Consider the following 16,245-nt stretch of genomic DNA (forward strand, 5'->3'; position numbering starts at 1 on the left):
CTTGCTCCTGAGCCTCCTCCCTGTGCCAGGCGTGGTACCAAGTGCTTCCCCCTGAGCGTCCTGAAGCTGCCTCAGCTGGCCTGGGTGGGTCTCCCCTTCCTGCCCTCTGAGCTGCCTCTCAGGGACAAGTTCAGCTCTTTGATGGTTTCTGGAGACAGTAACAGATGCACTTGTGTTCAGCCACTTCAGCAAAACGCTGCCCAGCCTCATGGGGAGAGAGGGAGATGGATGGGCCTCGGAGTCCCCTCGCATCAGCTAAGCGGCTGCTGCTTCTGCAAGGCACTTCACTTCATCACAGAAGGGAAGTCACGAGCCCAGGAGCTCTGCCTCACGTTGTATAAATCACAGCTTCTTGTGGTCCATAAGTCACGGCGCTAGCGCTGTGAAATGCCAGGCCCCAGCCTGGAGAGCCACTCCGGCCCTCTGTCATCTTTACAGCCTAGGTGACAGTAGACACGGAGCAGGCCCAAGAAGCCTCTTCCCGCGATCACACCCAATTGCCAGCCCAGAGAAGGGTCCCAGGGTCCTGCCCAAACACCTGGGGGGCACTTGTAGCCTGCCGATCTCGGGCAGGGAAACTGAGACTCCCAGATAAGTACCTCACCTGGGGCCCAAGAGCGGCAGTGATTGGGAATCCTAGCCAGCTCTGGAACCTGCCACAGCGACAACCCCACCCCCACCTCACCCCCCACTCACACTCTTGCTCTCAGGCTGGTTATCCTCTTCCTCTTGCAGAGACAGCAGCCGTGTCCCCCCTACCCCGCTCCAGCAGTACCCGCACCTCCTACACCCAGATAAGCGTAACCCCGTGGTTGCTGAGAGTTGCCACTTGCCCCACACTGAGGCTATGCACAGCCGTGGCAATCTCGTGAAGCCATGTAGTTTCTGTTTCCATTGATGGAGGAGGAAACTGAGGCTCAGAGACCTAAAGTTAGGTGCCAAGGTCACCCAGAGTAAGCCGGGGAGCTCGAAGTGTCCCCAGGTCTGACTCCAGTGTCTGAATGCTCAACCTCTGCTTACTTAGGAAACAGGAATTTCCCCAGGACCCTTGTGGGGGATTTTATCTAAAATAAGTTCCTTATTTAGAGGCTTAGGGGAAGTGCTTTGTTACCTGAAAATGACCTACATGCCCCAAGCCAAAGGGACTCTGGGCTCGCCCACCTTCCGAATGATTGGGGTGTGAGTCCAGCAGCCCAGGTTGCTATTCCTGCCCCTGCTGTGTGACCCTGAGTTAGTTACTTTCCTTCCCTAGGCTTGGGTCTCCCTATCTGCCCACCGAGGAGAGGGTTCCCCAGCCTCCCAGGGGGCAGGGACTGCTAGGGTGGCACAACCCCCCATCTGTGAGGTGCTCAGAGCCCTGGGGTGAGGAATGCTCATGCCCATCAGTGTTGAGAGAAGTGGGGCGACCCCAGGCTCCAGCCAGCATAGGGGTGCCTGCCCGACTGGGTCCCAGAGCACACCAGGGCTGTGCTTTCTGGTGGCTGCTAGCCTCATGTGGCTACTTACGATTAATTTTAAATTAATTAAAATGATACAAGGTCGGGTGCTGTGGCTCATGCCTGTAATCCCAGCACTTTGGGAGGCTGAGATGCGAGGATCACTTGAGCCCAGGAGTTCAAGACCAGCCTGGGCAACATAGTGAAATCCTGTCTCTACAAAAAATACAATAATTAGGGCTGGGCGCGGTGGCTCACGCCTGTAATCCCAGCATTTTGGGAGACTGAGGCGGGCGGATCACCTGAGGTCGGTAGTTCGAGACCAGCCTGGCCAATATGGTGAAACCCCGTCTCTACTAAAAATACAAAAATTAGCCAGGCTGTGGTGGTGCGCGTTTGTAATCCTAGCTATTTGGGAGGCTGAGGTGGGAGAATTGCTTGACCTGGGAGGTGGAGGTTGTAGTGAGCTGAGATCACACCACTGTACTCCAGCTTGGGCAACAGAGTAAAACCCTGTCTCAAAAAAAAAACAACAACAACAAAAAAAAACAAAATGGAACCTTTCTGCGTCCCATTCATACCCCCAACTTTTCACATGGCCCAAGGCTGTCTCACTGCACACTGTGGTATAGCGCTCTGCCGGTGACGATGTAGGCACTTTCTTTTTTTTGTTGTTTTTGAGACAGAGTTTCCCTCTTGTTGCCCAGGCTGGAGTGCAATGGCATAATCTCGGCTCACCACAACCTCCGCTTCCTGGGTTCAAGCAATTCTCCCACCTCAGCCTCCCAAGTATCTGGGATTACAGGCGTGTGCCACCACGCCCAGCTAATTTTGTGTTTTTAGTAGAGATGAGACTTCACCATATTGGTCAGGCTGGTCTCAAACTCCCAACCTCAGGTGATCCGCCCCCCTCGGCCTCCCAAAGTGCTGGGATTACAGGCGTCAGTCACTGCGCCCGGCCAGTGTAGGCACTTTCAAAACAGTTTGCTCAGAATTCCTGAGAGGCAGTACTCAGCCACAGTGAGCGTCATGGTATCAATATTTCCAGAAAAAAAATTTAAAAATAGCTACGAAACGGTGTTTTTAAAGTTGAGGTCTGGAAGACCTGGCTCGGGGTCTGGGAAGGTGGGTCTTTTGTGATGTGGTCCCCGGGCGGTGCACTTGGGAGCCATGGCGGGGCCAGGACCTCTGGCAGCGCAGGGATGGAGCCCGCAGGTGATGAGCTTGGGAGGTGAGTTGTGGAGGCTGCGCTCACATCAATGCCCAGTGCCCTCCCCGAGGGGCCAGGTTCTCTCTCCACAGGGGCGGGGGAAGCACACAGGGGACAGGGAGGGGTGCTGGGTTCTCTCTCCTCGGGACAGGGAGCGCAGCCAGGTTCTCTCTCCTCGGGACAGGGTGGTGCCGTTGCGTGCATTCCCCAGCTGCAGCCACGAGAAACAATTTGGAGCGGAACCCGGGCTCTGACCTCCCCTCATCCTCAGCCTTCCCCCAGGGATGGGCCGTGAGATGAATGTGGTCACCGGCCCAATCCAGGGGTCTATGGCCAAACCGCAGACCCGGAGGAAGCAGGCCAGGCCATCTGGGGAGCCGGCTCCCCTCCTCTCCTCCCCTGGCTCCCACAAAGCTGTCTCATCCAGAAGCCAGGCCCGCCTGTGAGCAAGGGGAGGCTGCAGGTGTTCCTTCAGCCTGAAGCGTGTGAAAGCCAACAGCCCCCACCCTGGTCTCCAGCCGCAGCCCCCTCCCCAGACTCAGGGGGCCAAACCCACTTTTCACAGCCATCTGTAACCCAAACGTCTGCCCACAGCTTTGTTCGAGCTCAGTCCACAGTGGGCCGCGTGGCCTGGGAGCGTCCAGTGGCAGCTGGGGCCTGCCAGGACTGCTGCCCCCAGATCGCTGTTTGCTGTGTGTGTGGCTCTGTGGGGCCCCGGCTCCACGATACCCTCAAGCATCTGCCTCCCGCTCTTCCCAGATTGCAGGGCATGCCTGGCAAGACTGCGCAGTGCCGCTCTGACGGGCCTGATCTGAACCTGGGCTCGGGGGGACAAGGGAGGGGACTGAGCACGTGGGATGGACAGAGATGCACACCCCTCCCAGGCAGGAGAGGCAGAGCTGCTTCTGACACACAGGCAGTTATCAGGGGGAAGAGAAGGTGGGCAGAGGAGCCACCCCATCTCAAGGCAGCGTGCAGGGCAGAGCCTAAGAGAGGGTCCTCCTGCAAGGGCCAGACAAGGAGGAGGGCATGGGCAGGAACCGCGTCCAAATCAACAGCAAAGACAAAGGTCACCTAGAAAGGGGGACTCCACCAGACTCTTACCCAGCAGCACGTCCCTCCTGCCTGGGCCTGGTGAGCGAGGGGCTCAAGGGGAAACTGAGGCAGGAGCTGGCACTTCTGTGTGGGTGAGGAGGGCACCAATCTGAGGCCCCGCCCGCTCCCTGCTTCGGCTCCTCTGTGTTCCCGGGCTGCCGACTCTCAGGAGGCTTTGCCACCTGAAGAACAGGGAGGTCGAGCAAGGTAAGAAGAGCTTTCCAGCTCCTGTTCCGACCTGAGAGCCGAGAGGCACCATCCTGAAGAATGGCCTTGGTCCCAGGCCTCCATGTGCGCTGTGGCAGACAATGCCAGTCGATCACCTCTCTTTCCTGACCCAGACACAGCCTCATGCTCTTCAGCCAAGTGCCCCAGGGAAGCCCGCCACCGATCAGTCAAGCCTGGAGTAAAAGATGAAGCCTATTTGCTTCGCTGTTTTCACGTGGGGCTTATCAAGTATTTACTAAGCACCTTCTAGAAGCTTGGAAAGGGCTACAAGCCATGGTCCCTGAGCCCAAGACACTTACAGGTTTGCTTTCTGGGAGGATTGGGGTGGATTAGAGACTGCCTTCCAGTCAGTGACCACAGGATGGGCCATCTTGGTCTCTGTCCGTATCTGGTTTGGGGGTTTTCGCAGGACTAGGCCTAGGCTAAGGACAGGGAGGGCACAAGTTCTGGCTGGGTCCAGGGTCCTGGGACCCAGGGCCATTTGGGACCTGTGAGAATGGATGGACAGCATGGGATGGGGCATGTGGTCTGAGCCCTCAGTAGATTCCCTTCACCCTCTTGTTGTTGGGGTCGAAGGGCGACTTCAGGTGAGCCTGGGCACCATAGGTCACCCCCATTCTCTCCAGGGCATAGTCCCCGCTCTTCACAAAGTCCAGCGAGACCTAGGAGCAGAGGTGGGGATGAGGATCACTCTCTGTTGGTAGGTACAGGGCTCACGTCTGCCTGCTTCTCTGGAGGAGGGGGTCTTGGTCTTGCTACCTGCCCTGTGGGCAAACTCATCCCTGTGCCAGGGACTCCTTTCTGAACCCAGGCATTGCCCCAGAGCAGGTGCAGTTCGTGTCCATGTGATCTTGAGTTGGACATGGGCATCTGGGGTCCGGCAAAGCCAAGGTCTGGCAGCCAATATGACTTCCACCGGACAACACACCTCCCACCCCAGCAATTCCAGATGCCTGGGAAACAGCAGCAACACGGTGGCTTCCCCGGACCCGGGCAAGCACAGCGGCCAGAGCAGCGCCGAGGCTGGGGGCCAATCCGGCTCGAATCCCTCGGGGCAGGGGCGGCTGGAACAGCCTTCTAGACAGCTTGGCCTCTGCATGCTCCCCATCCCACACCCTGGCTCGGGCTCCCCAGCAAGCGCTCGGGAGCCAGTCAGCCCCAGGTGCAGGTGCTCTTAGGCAGGAGGAGGGTGTCACCTCCAGCCTGGCACAGCTGGTGACGCCTGGCACTTTTGCTGCAGCTGCTATGAGGAGGGCAGGCTAGGCCACTCAGGGAAGCTGTTCTTCCTTTACAGCAATTAAACCCAAGGTCAGGGCCACAGGAGGGAGTCTCGGGCTCCGCTCTGGGAGTCAGAGGGCTCCTTCTTGTTCCTAGCAGCTCAGGACTGGATGAAAAAAATAAAAAACAAACCAAGCTTTTTCTGCGACAGGAGCTTTAGGAGTGGTGCTTCTGAGCCATGTGTGCACCTGCAGGGCTGAGAGCTCTGAGCTGCCCCCCGCAGGCAGGCAGCATGGAGAGCTGGTGGCCTTCAGATGTCCACGGGCATGCACAACTCAAAGCGGGCATCTGGCCTTGCTAACAGATACCTACGAGGCAGAAACGCCTTCCCCATCTCGGAGCCTTTCCCATCAATGAGCAGGTTTCCCTATCTTAGGCAGAAACCTCCGTTACCCCACTTGGGTGCTAGAAAATGTTTAACAACCAGCTCTGGGGTGAGGTGGGTGTGACTGTAGCATTTGCCCATTTCCATGGTGCAAATGCTCTGGACAGCCCTGATGGAGGGGGCAGGAGACGTGCACCGGCCGCTCTGGGTGCATCGACTGGTTCCCCGGCTGCCTGTCTGGATGCCGTTTAACCTCGGAACCTCGGCTTCCCTGGTCACGTTGGTTATGGACCCATCCCTGACTCCGGAGAAAGGCGAGCATTACTGTTCTTTGAAGAAATGGCAAAGGAGCCTCCACTCCCCAGCCCACCCTGGCATGGAGCCCATAAACTCCGGTTTGGCTGGGCCCCAGGGCTGTGGCCCCCAGGACCATGGCCCCAGGGCTGTGTCAGGAGGCCCTGCCCACCGTGGGAGCCATGCCATCACAATCCCCACATATTAAGACTCACTCTGTGCAGTGGCCTGTATGACAGCCCTGCATGGTAGGTGAGTGTCCACATTTTATAAATGAGGAAACTGAGGCTCCAAGAGAGGATCCTTATCCAAGGTCACAAAGCAAGTAAAAGGCAGATCCAAAGGCTAGTGGCATCAAGTGTGTCCCCAGCCTCCCAGCTCCACCGCCGGACTCAGCCCCATGGGCTGCCACTTCCCCACAGCTCCACAGGACCATGGTCTTGCCCGAGGCCTGGCGGTGTCCCCTCCCCATTGGGCCTGCGAGCTGGGCCTGCGCATGTTCTGCAGCTCTTGCTAAGGCTGCTCCGTCTCCAGCCTACCCCTCCTCATGGCTTCTCCCAAGTGCTCGCTCCCTCCCCAATTCCCTCTACGTGTCCATCAGGGGCTCAGGCTGGAAGGCTCTGGAGCCAGGCCAGCACCTCCCGGCCTCACTTAGGGCTTAGGCCAAACGTCAGATCGGCTCCCATGGAGAGACACGACCCTCCTCACCGGCACCTCTACTTGCAGTGCCAGAAAGATGGGAAAAGGAGGTGGAGGTAGAGACCACCCCTTCCCCTTCTGGGGAGGCTGCCCACCCCCTGCCCCACCACCCCTGGCCACCCAGAGCTGTCCTGGGACTTGCTCCTGGGGGCAGTGCCTGCTCTTTCCAGCCTGTTCCTGCCTCCTGCAGCCAGGGGTCAGGGTCACCTGGAGGGGGTGGGGTTGCCTGGGGTCAGGGGTGTCGGGGGTGAGGAAAGAGAGGATAGGAACATGGGTCTCTGAGTCTCTAGTCGGTCACCCTGGGGGCCACCCCTGCACCCCAGGCAAAGGGTGGGCTGTGGGTGGCCTGAGGTTTGGGTCTCTGGTGTGAGGAGCTGGAAGGTATCAGCCTGGCTGGCTGGCACCTCCTTCTAACCAAAAAAAGCCTGGAATCACCAAAGTCGGATTCTTCCAGAAAGAAAACAGAGAGCAGCTTTGGCTCTGCCCAGGCACAGCTGGGGAGTCCTCCACCTGCTGAGGCCTCTTCCTCCCCCTTCTCCTTCTCCCTCCCTCCTCCCTCTCCCTCCTCCTCCTCCTTCCTCTCTCCCCTTTTTCCTTCCCCCTCCTTCTCCTCCTTCCTTCCTCCCCCTCTTCCCTCCTCCCTCCTTTCTCTTCCCTCCTCCTCTTCTGGACCACACCCGTGCCTCCTCCCTATGCCCGGCACACTCAGGGTGCAGTGCAGGGAGCTGGTTTGGAGCTGGTGAGGGATCGGCATCTGCCTTAGCAGGGCCAGAGAAGGGGACTCACCGGCCCACCGCTGGGGTCATGGATGTAACCGTAGGCGATGGTCTTGTCGATGGCGAACCCAAAGTCAGCCCTCCGGACATGGCCCACCACTTGGCCGTTCCTCCAGATGGCCTCCAGGCCAAACATGGGTACTTTGCTGGAAGAAGCAGTAGAGAAAGCTGGGGCCCCAGAAACCGCAGGGTGGGGACGCGTCCACAGCGGCCTGGAGGAGAATGGGGGGCTGCATGATGCACACCCAACCGTGGCTCCAGGCAGATAGGGCTGGCCTACTAGGACTACGCTGGTCCCCAGAGCCAGCCCAGCACCTGGCCTGGACAGCAGGGCTCGGGCTTCGAGTGAGTAAAAGGGATGAATAGAAAACATCAAAACCAGGAGTGGACTTTGCTGTTTCCAGAAGCGAGCCCCGTATATTTGGGAGGGCCCCTGCTTCCGATTTCCTTCCATTGTTGTTCAACTCTGGTTTTTTTTTTTTTTTTTTTTTTGGTGCAGTGGCACAATCTAGACTCACTACAACCTCCGCCTCCCAGGTTCAAACGATTCTCCTGCCTCAGCCTCCGGAGTAGCTGGGATTACAGGCACCCACCACCATGCCCGGCTAATTTTGTATTTTTAATAGAGATGGGGTTTCATCATGTTGGCCAGGCTGGTCTCGAACTCCTGACCTCAAGTGATCTGCCCACCTCAGCCTCCCAAAGTGCTGGGATTACAGACTTGAGCCACTGCGCCCGGCCAGGTTCATTTTTTTTATAGTACAATACATACTTTATTCAAAGGACTTTACTACATGTAATACATGAATGCTCACTGTAAAAGTTTTAAAGATTAAAAGCAGGAAGACAAAAAAAAAAAAGTAAGCTAAAATCAAAGAAAGGCCAGCACCCAGGGCTAACTGGTAACATTTTGTTGCCAGTCTGCAGACTTCTCCCTGTGCAATGGGTTATCACGGCGGCAGCTATGCAAAGGGGTCCCTGAATGGAAGGGCTGGGGTGATGTTGAGGGCACCTCCTGCATCCTCAGCCTGGAGTCACTGTTTGGGTCCCACCTGTCCATCAGATTAGGACGAGGCTGGAAGGAGGTTTCGTAAACATCTTTGGTGTCACCCTAGTTTCTGTTCTCCACGTGAGGACGCTGAGGCCCCAACTGCCCGGAGTCCCAGAGCAGTGTGGCAGGGCTGTTCTCTGTGACTCCACTGCCAGCATCTTCTCTGCGCCTGTCCTGGAACTGCAACAGTCCAGAGCCGCGGCGCAGGGCAGCTATTATGCAGCCTGACAGGAAACCCCTGAGCAGAGCGCACTGGGTCACAGGGGCCGTCCGAGGCCCTCCTAAACCCAGACATCAGGCTGCAGGTACTTCATGGAGGGCCAGAAGGTCGGGGTCAGGCAAGCAGAAAGGACCCATGGATGCTGACCTGTCTGCAAGGGGCCCCCTCTCCAGGAGCTGAGCTGATTCAGGGAGCTGGACAGGCTGTCACACAAGAGACAGAGCCTGACAGGCACCCAGGGAGAAGCCACAGGATGACGACGACACGGCTCCACTCACCGTCCCTCTCCCTCCCTCTCCCTCCCTCTCCCTCCCTCTCCCCCACCCTCCCTCTCCCTCTCCCTCATTCTCCCTCACCCTCCCTCTCCCTCACCCTCATTCTCCCTCAGCCTCCCTCTCCCTCTCCCTTCACCCTCCCTCTCCCTCTCCCTTCACCCTCCCTCTCCCTTACCCTCCCTCTCCCTCGCCCTCCCTCTCCCCTCGCCCTCCCTCTCCCCTCACCCTCACCCTCCCTCTCCCTCACCCTCCCTCTCCCTCACCCTCCCTCTCCCTCACCCTCCCTCTCCCCTCACCCTCCCTCTCCCTCACCCTCCCTCTCCCTCACCCTCCCTCTCCCCTTACCCTCCCCCTCCCTCTCCCTCACCTTCCCTCTCCCCTACCCTCCCTCTCCCTCACCCTCCCTCTCCCCTCACCCTCCCTCTCCCTCACCCTCCCTCTCCCTCACCCTCCCTCTCCCCTTACCCTCCCCCTCCCTCTCCCTCACCTTCCCTCTCCCCTACCCTCCCTCTCCCTCACCCTCCCTCTCCCTCACCCTCCATCTCCCCTCACCCTCCCTCTCCCCTCACCCTCCCTCTCCCTCACCCTCCATCTCCCCTCACCCTCCCTCTCCCTCACCCTCCCTCTCCCTCACCCTCCCTCTCTCTCTCCTTCCCTCTCCCTTACCCTCCCTCTCCCTCACCTTCCCTCTCCCTCACCTTCCCTCTCCCTCACCCTCCATCTCCCTCACCCTCCCTCTCCCCTTACCCTCCCTCTCCCTCACCTTCCCTCTCCCTTACCCTCCCTCTCCCTCACCCTCCATCTCCCCTCACCCTCCCTCTCCCTCACCCTCCCTCTCCCTCACCCTCCCTCTCTCTCTCCTTCCCTCTCCCTTACCCTCCCTCTCCCTCACCTTCCCTCTCCCTCACCTTCCCTCTCCCTCACCCTCCATCTCCCTCACCCTCCCTCTCCCTTACCCTCCCTCTCCCTCACCCTCCCTCTCCCCTCACCCTCCCTCTCCCCTCACCCTCCCTCTCCCTCACCCTCCCTCTCCCCTCATCCTCCCTCACCCTCCCTCTCCCTCGTCCTCCCTCTCCCTCCCCTCGTCACTCTGACACTCCTTTTGAAGGCTCCAGAAATCTGGGAGAAGTGGCAGTGTTTGCAGCTGGCTGTCAGCTCCATGTCCACAGAGCCCAAAGCCGCCCACTTCCCCGGATACCTGTGCTTCAGACCCCCGTGGGCACCACGGGAGGGCCTCTGATCAGGGCCTGATCTTCTCAGACTGCCCTGCAACCCAAGTGGGACTCGGGTTCCTGGAATCCAAACTCTCCCAGTAGCCCAGGGATCACGTGCGCCGGGCTCCAGCAGCATGCTCAAAGCCACTCTCAGTGGGGAGAGCAGGAGGTCAGGTCGCCCCCAGGCAGAGTCTCTCCTTCCACCTCTGCCGTGTGACTGGGCGTGAGTCCCCTGCTCCTTGGCACCATGTGGTCTCCATTCGTGAGTGGGGATGACGGCCCCAGCCGAGCCCCTCTCCCCCTATCACAGGGCTGTGGGGAGACTGAACCAGAACGGGATGGGAGGTCGTGTTGCAGTGACTGGGAGGTCAGGCTCCCTGGGTTCACCCTCCCAAGGCCCTCGGCCTAGACCTGCCACAGAGGGGTGGCCTGGGCTTGGCTGCACCTTTCTCTTTTGAGACCTGCATGGGAAGAGTGTGGAGCCTTCTCTACCTCCCCACGGGCCCTGCTGGCCTGGGAGGGGCCCCAGGTGCGCAACCTTACACTGGCCTGGTTTGAATCCCAGCATGTTGGGATCCTCACGCTTGTAATCCCAGCACTTTGGGAGGCCGAGGCAGGCAGATCACGAGGTCAGGAGAGTTCAAGACCAGCCTGGCCAACATGGTGAAACCCCATCTCTACTAAAAGTACAAAAATTAGCTGGGTGTGGTAGTGCACGCCTGTAATCCCAGCTACTTGGGAGGCTGAGGCAGGAGAATCACTTGAACCTGGGAGGCGGAGGTTGCAGTGAGCCGAGATTGCGCCACTGCACTCCGGCCTGGGCAATAGAGTGAGACTCCGTCTCAAAAAAAAAAAAAAAAAAAAGAGCAAACTCTCTCTGCCTTTCTGCCTTTAACAACATGTGACCTGGCCAGATGGCCTCTCTCTTTGGCCTCGATTTCCTTATCTGCAGTGGGCTGTTGGGTGCGTTCTGGAAGAGCATGGCTGGCACATGGGAAGTGTTGGTACCAGGGGCTTTGAGTGGGGGACCAAGAAGCGCCTGCCTGCCCTGGCTGTAGGCAGTTGCTTCCGGGTGGGCGTGGAACAGCGGGATACTCACTCCTCCATGGTGAAGCACACCAGGCGCCGGCGGAGGCCTGCGGCCCGCTGCTGCTCCAGGGCCTCCCTCCCCAGGAAGGGCACCGGCGACTTGAGCTTGCAGGTGAAGGCCAGGCCTGCCTCCAGGGGGCTGTCGTCTGGCCGCAGGTCCGCGTGCCAGTGCCGGTAGCCTGTGGGAAGGGAATCCATGGGGTCGGTGCCACCCTGAGGGGGATAAGCCCTTCAGGAGATGCATGAGGATGCTGCCTAAACCCACCCCCTCCAGCCCCTAGCCACACTCTCAGAGCTGCTTAGTCACCTGGGCAGGAGGCAGGGGCATCCCCAACTCCAGAAGGTTCCCTGGGGCGACCGCTCCCCCGAGCAGACTGCCCATCAGCACTGCAGCCCTCTGCACCCTCAGGTGGGGGCGTCAGGGAGGGGCTTGTGAAGGGGGAGCTTCCCAATGCCCAAGCTGGGTGCCCAACACCCAGGGGAGCTGCCTGACGCCCAAGCTGGGTGCCCAACACGCTGGGGAACCGCCCAAAGCCCGCTCTGAGCCTTCATCCTTGCTCTGGACAGGGTCTGGGCTTCTTCCAGAGGCCACAGCACCTGCTCCCTGGCTCCATTCTTCACAGCTCTCAGAGAAACCAAGGCCCTCAATTCCAACCCAGCCTGGGCCTGACCCCCAGGTGTCAGGCAGCACCTCAGCTCTCTGAGTTCAGGTGTGTGTAGGTGTCGCAGATCCCAACACTGTCCCTGGGGCCCTGCACGAAGACCCTGGGCAGCAAGAGGTTTTGGGGAAATGGAGGATGTCAGGCGCTGGGGTGTAGGGGAGGAAATCATGGTGTGGAAAGAAGGAAGCCGGGTGACAACACAGGGAAGGTAAACAGCTTCTCGGCCTCCAGGTGTCTCGAGCGTCACTGCCCCCCACTGCGCCCGCCCCCGCCCCGTGCTGTCCAGACCCTGCACTCACCTTTCTCAATGCTCAGGGAGTCGATGGCGCGGTACCCTGCGTTGATGAGGCCGTGCTTGGCACCCGCGGCCATCACAGCCCGGTACACAGGCACGCAGGACGCCTTTGGAATGTGCAGCTCCCAGCCCAGCTCCCCCACAAAGGACAGCCGCATGGCTCGGACCTGGGGGACAAGGTCATGGCTTAGATGTGGCCATGTAAGATGGCTGAGGTCCAGGCCCAGGCCACCACTTCCTGGTGGCAGCTCCTACTGTCACCAGGATTATCAGCTGGCCCTGGGTCCCAGCCAGATTGCCATCAAGAAATGGGGTCTTCCAAGGAGAGCTGCTCCCTCCAGCTGCTCTGGAAATCTTTGAGGAGAAGTAGGGGGTCACCTTTGGGAAGGGGAGATGGCAGGTTTGCTATCTGCAGACCTCAGGTCTTCTCCAGGACTGGGTTAGTTTCCTACCTGTCATAACAAACGACCACAACTGGTGGCTTAAAACAATAACAGTAAACTCTCTCTCGGTTCTGCAGGCTCAAAATCCAAAATCACCATGTGGGCAAGCCACGCTTCCTCTGCAGGCTCCGGAGACGACCCTTCCACTCTCGAGGGAGCCTCCTCCCGAGCACCTCCCGAGCACCTCCCGGCACCCCTTGGCTTGTGGCTGCACCACTGCGATTTCTGCCTCAGCCCTCACAGCCTCCCCTTTGTGTCTCTGTCTTCTAAGGACACTTGTCACTGGACTTAGGACCTTCCCTAGCCCTAGATAATATCATCTGGAGATCCTGACCTTAATTACACCTGCAAAGATCCTATTTCCAAACAAGGCCCCATTCACAGGTTCTGACGAGTTAGGATGTAGATATATGTTTTGGGGGTCACCATTCAGTCCACAGCAGTGACCTGGGGCAAGCTTCTCACCCTTCCTTGTCTGTAAGATGGGGTTGGGAGCCCAGCTTTATCTGTTTCAGAAGCTCTGAGACACGTCTGCGAGGAGCAGGGGGAAGGCAGCAGCCCAGCTCAGGGGACACCACCCTGGCTGCACCAGGTGGGGATAGAGGCATCAGGGAAGGGGACAGCCAGGTGCCAAGCCCGTTGTCCGAGGAGCCCGTCACCCACCAATTCTGGTCAGCCCCGGCCCAGCACCGGGCTCTGAAGACAGCCATAGCCTCTGCCCTTCAGGACTCAGCTCGGCCGTGAGCACAACCATGTTCTGGGTGAGGAAGGGGCCGGAAAGCAAGACCCCTGCCTGGGACGCCAGACCAGGCTAGCAGGCAGACCAGGAGATTGCCGTCGCAGACGGGCCTTCCAGGTGAGGTGCAAAGGCCCAGCGTTGGGCAGCGGACATGGTGGGAGGCAGGAGAGAAAGGCCTGTGGGGCTGTGGATACCTGACTGTGAAAGACACGATGGCTCAAGCCCTGCAGAAGTGACAGTGCCGATTATCGGGTGCTCTGGGCTAAGCTTCATCTCGTCCCTCCACGGCCCTTGCAACGGTGGGAACACGGTCAGTAATGTCTGTGGGCTGAGGCGGACACAGAGGCTCCCAGAGGCACTGAGCAGGGCCTAGGCACACCCTGCTCCGCTGAGGACAGCTGGTGTCTTTGGGAGGGTGTGTCCCGCACGCCTGCACAACAGGCTAGCACTCGGCTGCGTGGAGGCCACAGACAGCATGGGGGGCTTCTTGCACAGGAGGCGTGATTTTCCTCACACACTTGGTTCAGGTGCGTGGCACGTCCACACCCAGTAACTGGAGTCTGCGTCCTCACCTTCAGGCAAACCGTTGAACCCACTGACTCCCATGGGAAGGCCTGAGTGCTCAGCCCTGGGACCAGAGAGCTCACAAAAGGAATGGGGAGAGCTAGGCTGACTGCAGGATCCCAGACAGCGGAGGAGCTGATTCCACCACTGCTCTGAGTGGAAAGGCCCTCCCTGTACAGCTCCCGCTGGGATACGCCTGTGGGAAGGAGGGCAGAGGCCGCTCTCCCAACCACAGGGGCAGCTCCTTATAAACCTGACACTTTAATCACATGGCCGCCGAGGGGCTGGATTCTAAAAGCTTTGGAAATAGCGCAAATTTGCTCTAAGTTGCCATTTGCCCAGGCCTCCTAAAAAACTCAAAATTGACACAGAAAATATACTGTTGACATTTCCCTGCTTCCCTGGTGCAAGCCGTAGGCCCCTGACAAAGATTGCCTTGTCAACGGGGTTCTAATTTTAGATAGCCTATGGAGGAGCTCGGGGCTCAAAACCAATCTCATTTTGAAACAGGAAAAATAATTTTTAAAGTGCACCTATGCACGGCCCTCCAATTGCGGATCCCTGTTCAGACAAAGACCCGTCACCCAGCTCAGGGAGAGGGTTGGAGTTCACGGGTGGAAGGGAGGGAGCAGTCCCATCCTTCCTGGCTCCAGCAGCTCAGCGAGGATGGGGTCAGCTGGGTCTGGGTCTCCATTGTACGCCGTGCACAGCCTGGCCCAAGAAACAGTCCCTGAACGAAGGAGCAAAACGGGGGCCACACCTGCTTCCTGCCAAAGAGAGGGAGGCTGGGGAAATCCAGGGGCCTCTCTAAGTTCACGGAATCACTAGTTGTTGAGGCGTCTTACATTTTTCTCCACCAAAGCAGTGGAGTGGGATCAGTCCCCAGTTCTTCCAAGTGGGGACCCACAAGGAAAGGGACAGGCCAAGCGAGGACATCCAGAACAAACACGGGCTCCCAGTCAGCCGGGCTTGGGTGGGAACAGCGTCTCCCAGCGCCCATGGGGGTCGGCCCACTTGGCCTCAGTGCCCTGCTCTGACCCATCGGCCAGGGTTGGGTGCGTGTGCACCAAGCACATGGTCCCGGCACGTCGTCCTTGGCCACTCTGACTCAGGTGGGCTCTGAAAGCCCCAAATTGCAAGATGGAACTCCTGGCCGTGGATGGAGTCACAGAATTATGGAAGATCAGCAGGAAGGGTCTTATGTCAGGTTTTGTTTAAACCCTTTCCACATCCTGAAAATTCCATGCCAAAAAAGCCTGCTGAAACTATTAAACGAAATCAGCAAAGTTGGAGAAAGTGAAGTCAAATGAACCGTCACGTATGTGTTCACATGATCTCTACAAGGGCGCTGAGGCCACTCATGGGGAAAGAGTCTCCAACAAGTGGTGCTGGGAGGATCCGATAGCCACATGCAGAAGCGAGAAGCTGGTCGCGTACCTTACATCTTGTCCAAAAATTAACTAGACATGGAACAAAGACACAAGGGTAAGATCTGTAGCTGTACAACCTCTGGAAGAAGGCATGGGGAGTTGGAAATGGCAAGGGTTTCCTGGAGAGGACACCAAAAGCACAGGTCACAAAAGCAAAAGTCAGATGGAAGGACATTGATCACAAGCACATTTGTGCATCGAAGGACGCTAACAAAGAGTGAAAAGGCAACCCACGGGATGGGAGAGAACATTTGCAAGTCTTACATATGATAAGGGCCTTCTACCCAGACAGAACAAAGAACTCCTACAACTTAACAATAAAAAGTCAAATACCACCATTAAAAATGGGCAAAGGGGCCGGGTGTGGTGGCTCATGCCTGTAATCCCAGCACTTTGGGAGACCAAGGTGGGAGGACCATCTGAGGTCAGGAGCTCGAGACCACCCTGGCCAACATAGTGAAACCCTGTTTCCATTAAAAATATTTAAAAAAAAAATTAGTTGGGCATGGTGGTGCATGCCTGTAGTCCCAGCTACTCAGGAGGCTGAGGTGGGAGAATCACTTGAATCAAGGAGGTGGAGGCTGCAGTGAGCCGAGATTGTGCCACTGCACTCCAGCCTGGGCAACAGAGTGAGACTCCATTTAAAAAAAAAAAAAATAGGCAAGGGACTTGAATCGACAATTCTCAAAAGCAAATGCAAATGGCCAACAGGCCCAGGAAAAGATGCTCCACGTCACTACCCATCAGAGGCACGCAAACCCAAGTCACAGTGAGTTATCACTTTGTGCCCATGAGGATGACAATTATAAAAACAAGAAAAAGAAAGTAACGAGTGTTGGTGAGGATGTGGAGAAACTGGAACCCTTGTGTATTGTTAGTGGAAATGGAAAATGGTGCAAGCACTGTGGAAAACAGGGTGGCA

General features: G+C 58.0%; 1 protein-coding gene across 12 annotated transcripts in view; it reads right to left on the reverse strand.

The window, feature by feature from the left end:
* SARDH (sarcosine dehydrogenase) overlaps positions 35–16,245 on the reverse strand; it is an 80,538-nt gene continuing 64,327 nt past the window's right edge. For 5 of the 12 annotated variants that reach the window (NM_007101.4, XM_047422895.1, NM_001134707.2 and 2 more), the window contains 4 exons: positions 12,152–12,314; positions 11,201–11,369; positions 7,352–7,487; positions 4,177–4,631 (listed from right to left, as the gene is read on the reverse strand). In NM_007101.4, the coding sequence (NP_009032.2) occupies positions 4,506–4,631; positions 7,352–7,487; positions 11,201–11,369; positions 12,152–12,314 (594 nt within the window). In that variant the 3' untranslated portion in view covers positions 4,177–4,505. Of the gene's footprint in view, positions 4,143–4,176; positions 4,632–7,351; positions 7,488–11,200; positions 11,370–12,151; positions 12,315–16,245 lie in introns of those variants that run through there. The other 7 variants (XM_017014367.2, XM_047422896.1, XM_047422897.1 and 4 more) reach the window with 5 other exon arrangements.

The sequence above is a fragment of the Homo sapiens genome, chromosome 9 (genome assembly GCF_000001405.40).
Source record: "Homo sapiens chromosome 9, GRCh38.p14 Primary Assembly".
Taxonomy (NCBI): Eukaryota; Metazoa; Chordata; class Mammalia; order Primates; family Hominidae; genus Homo; species Homo sapiens.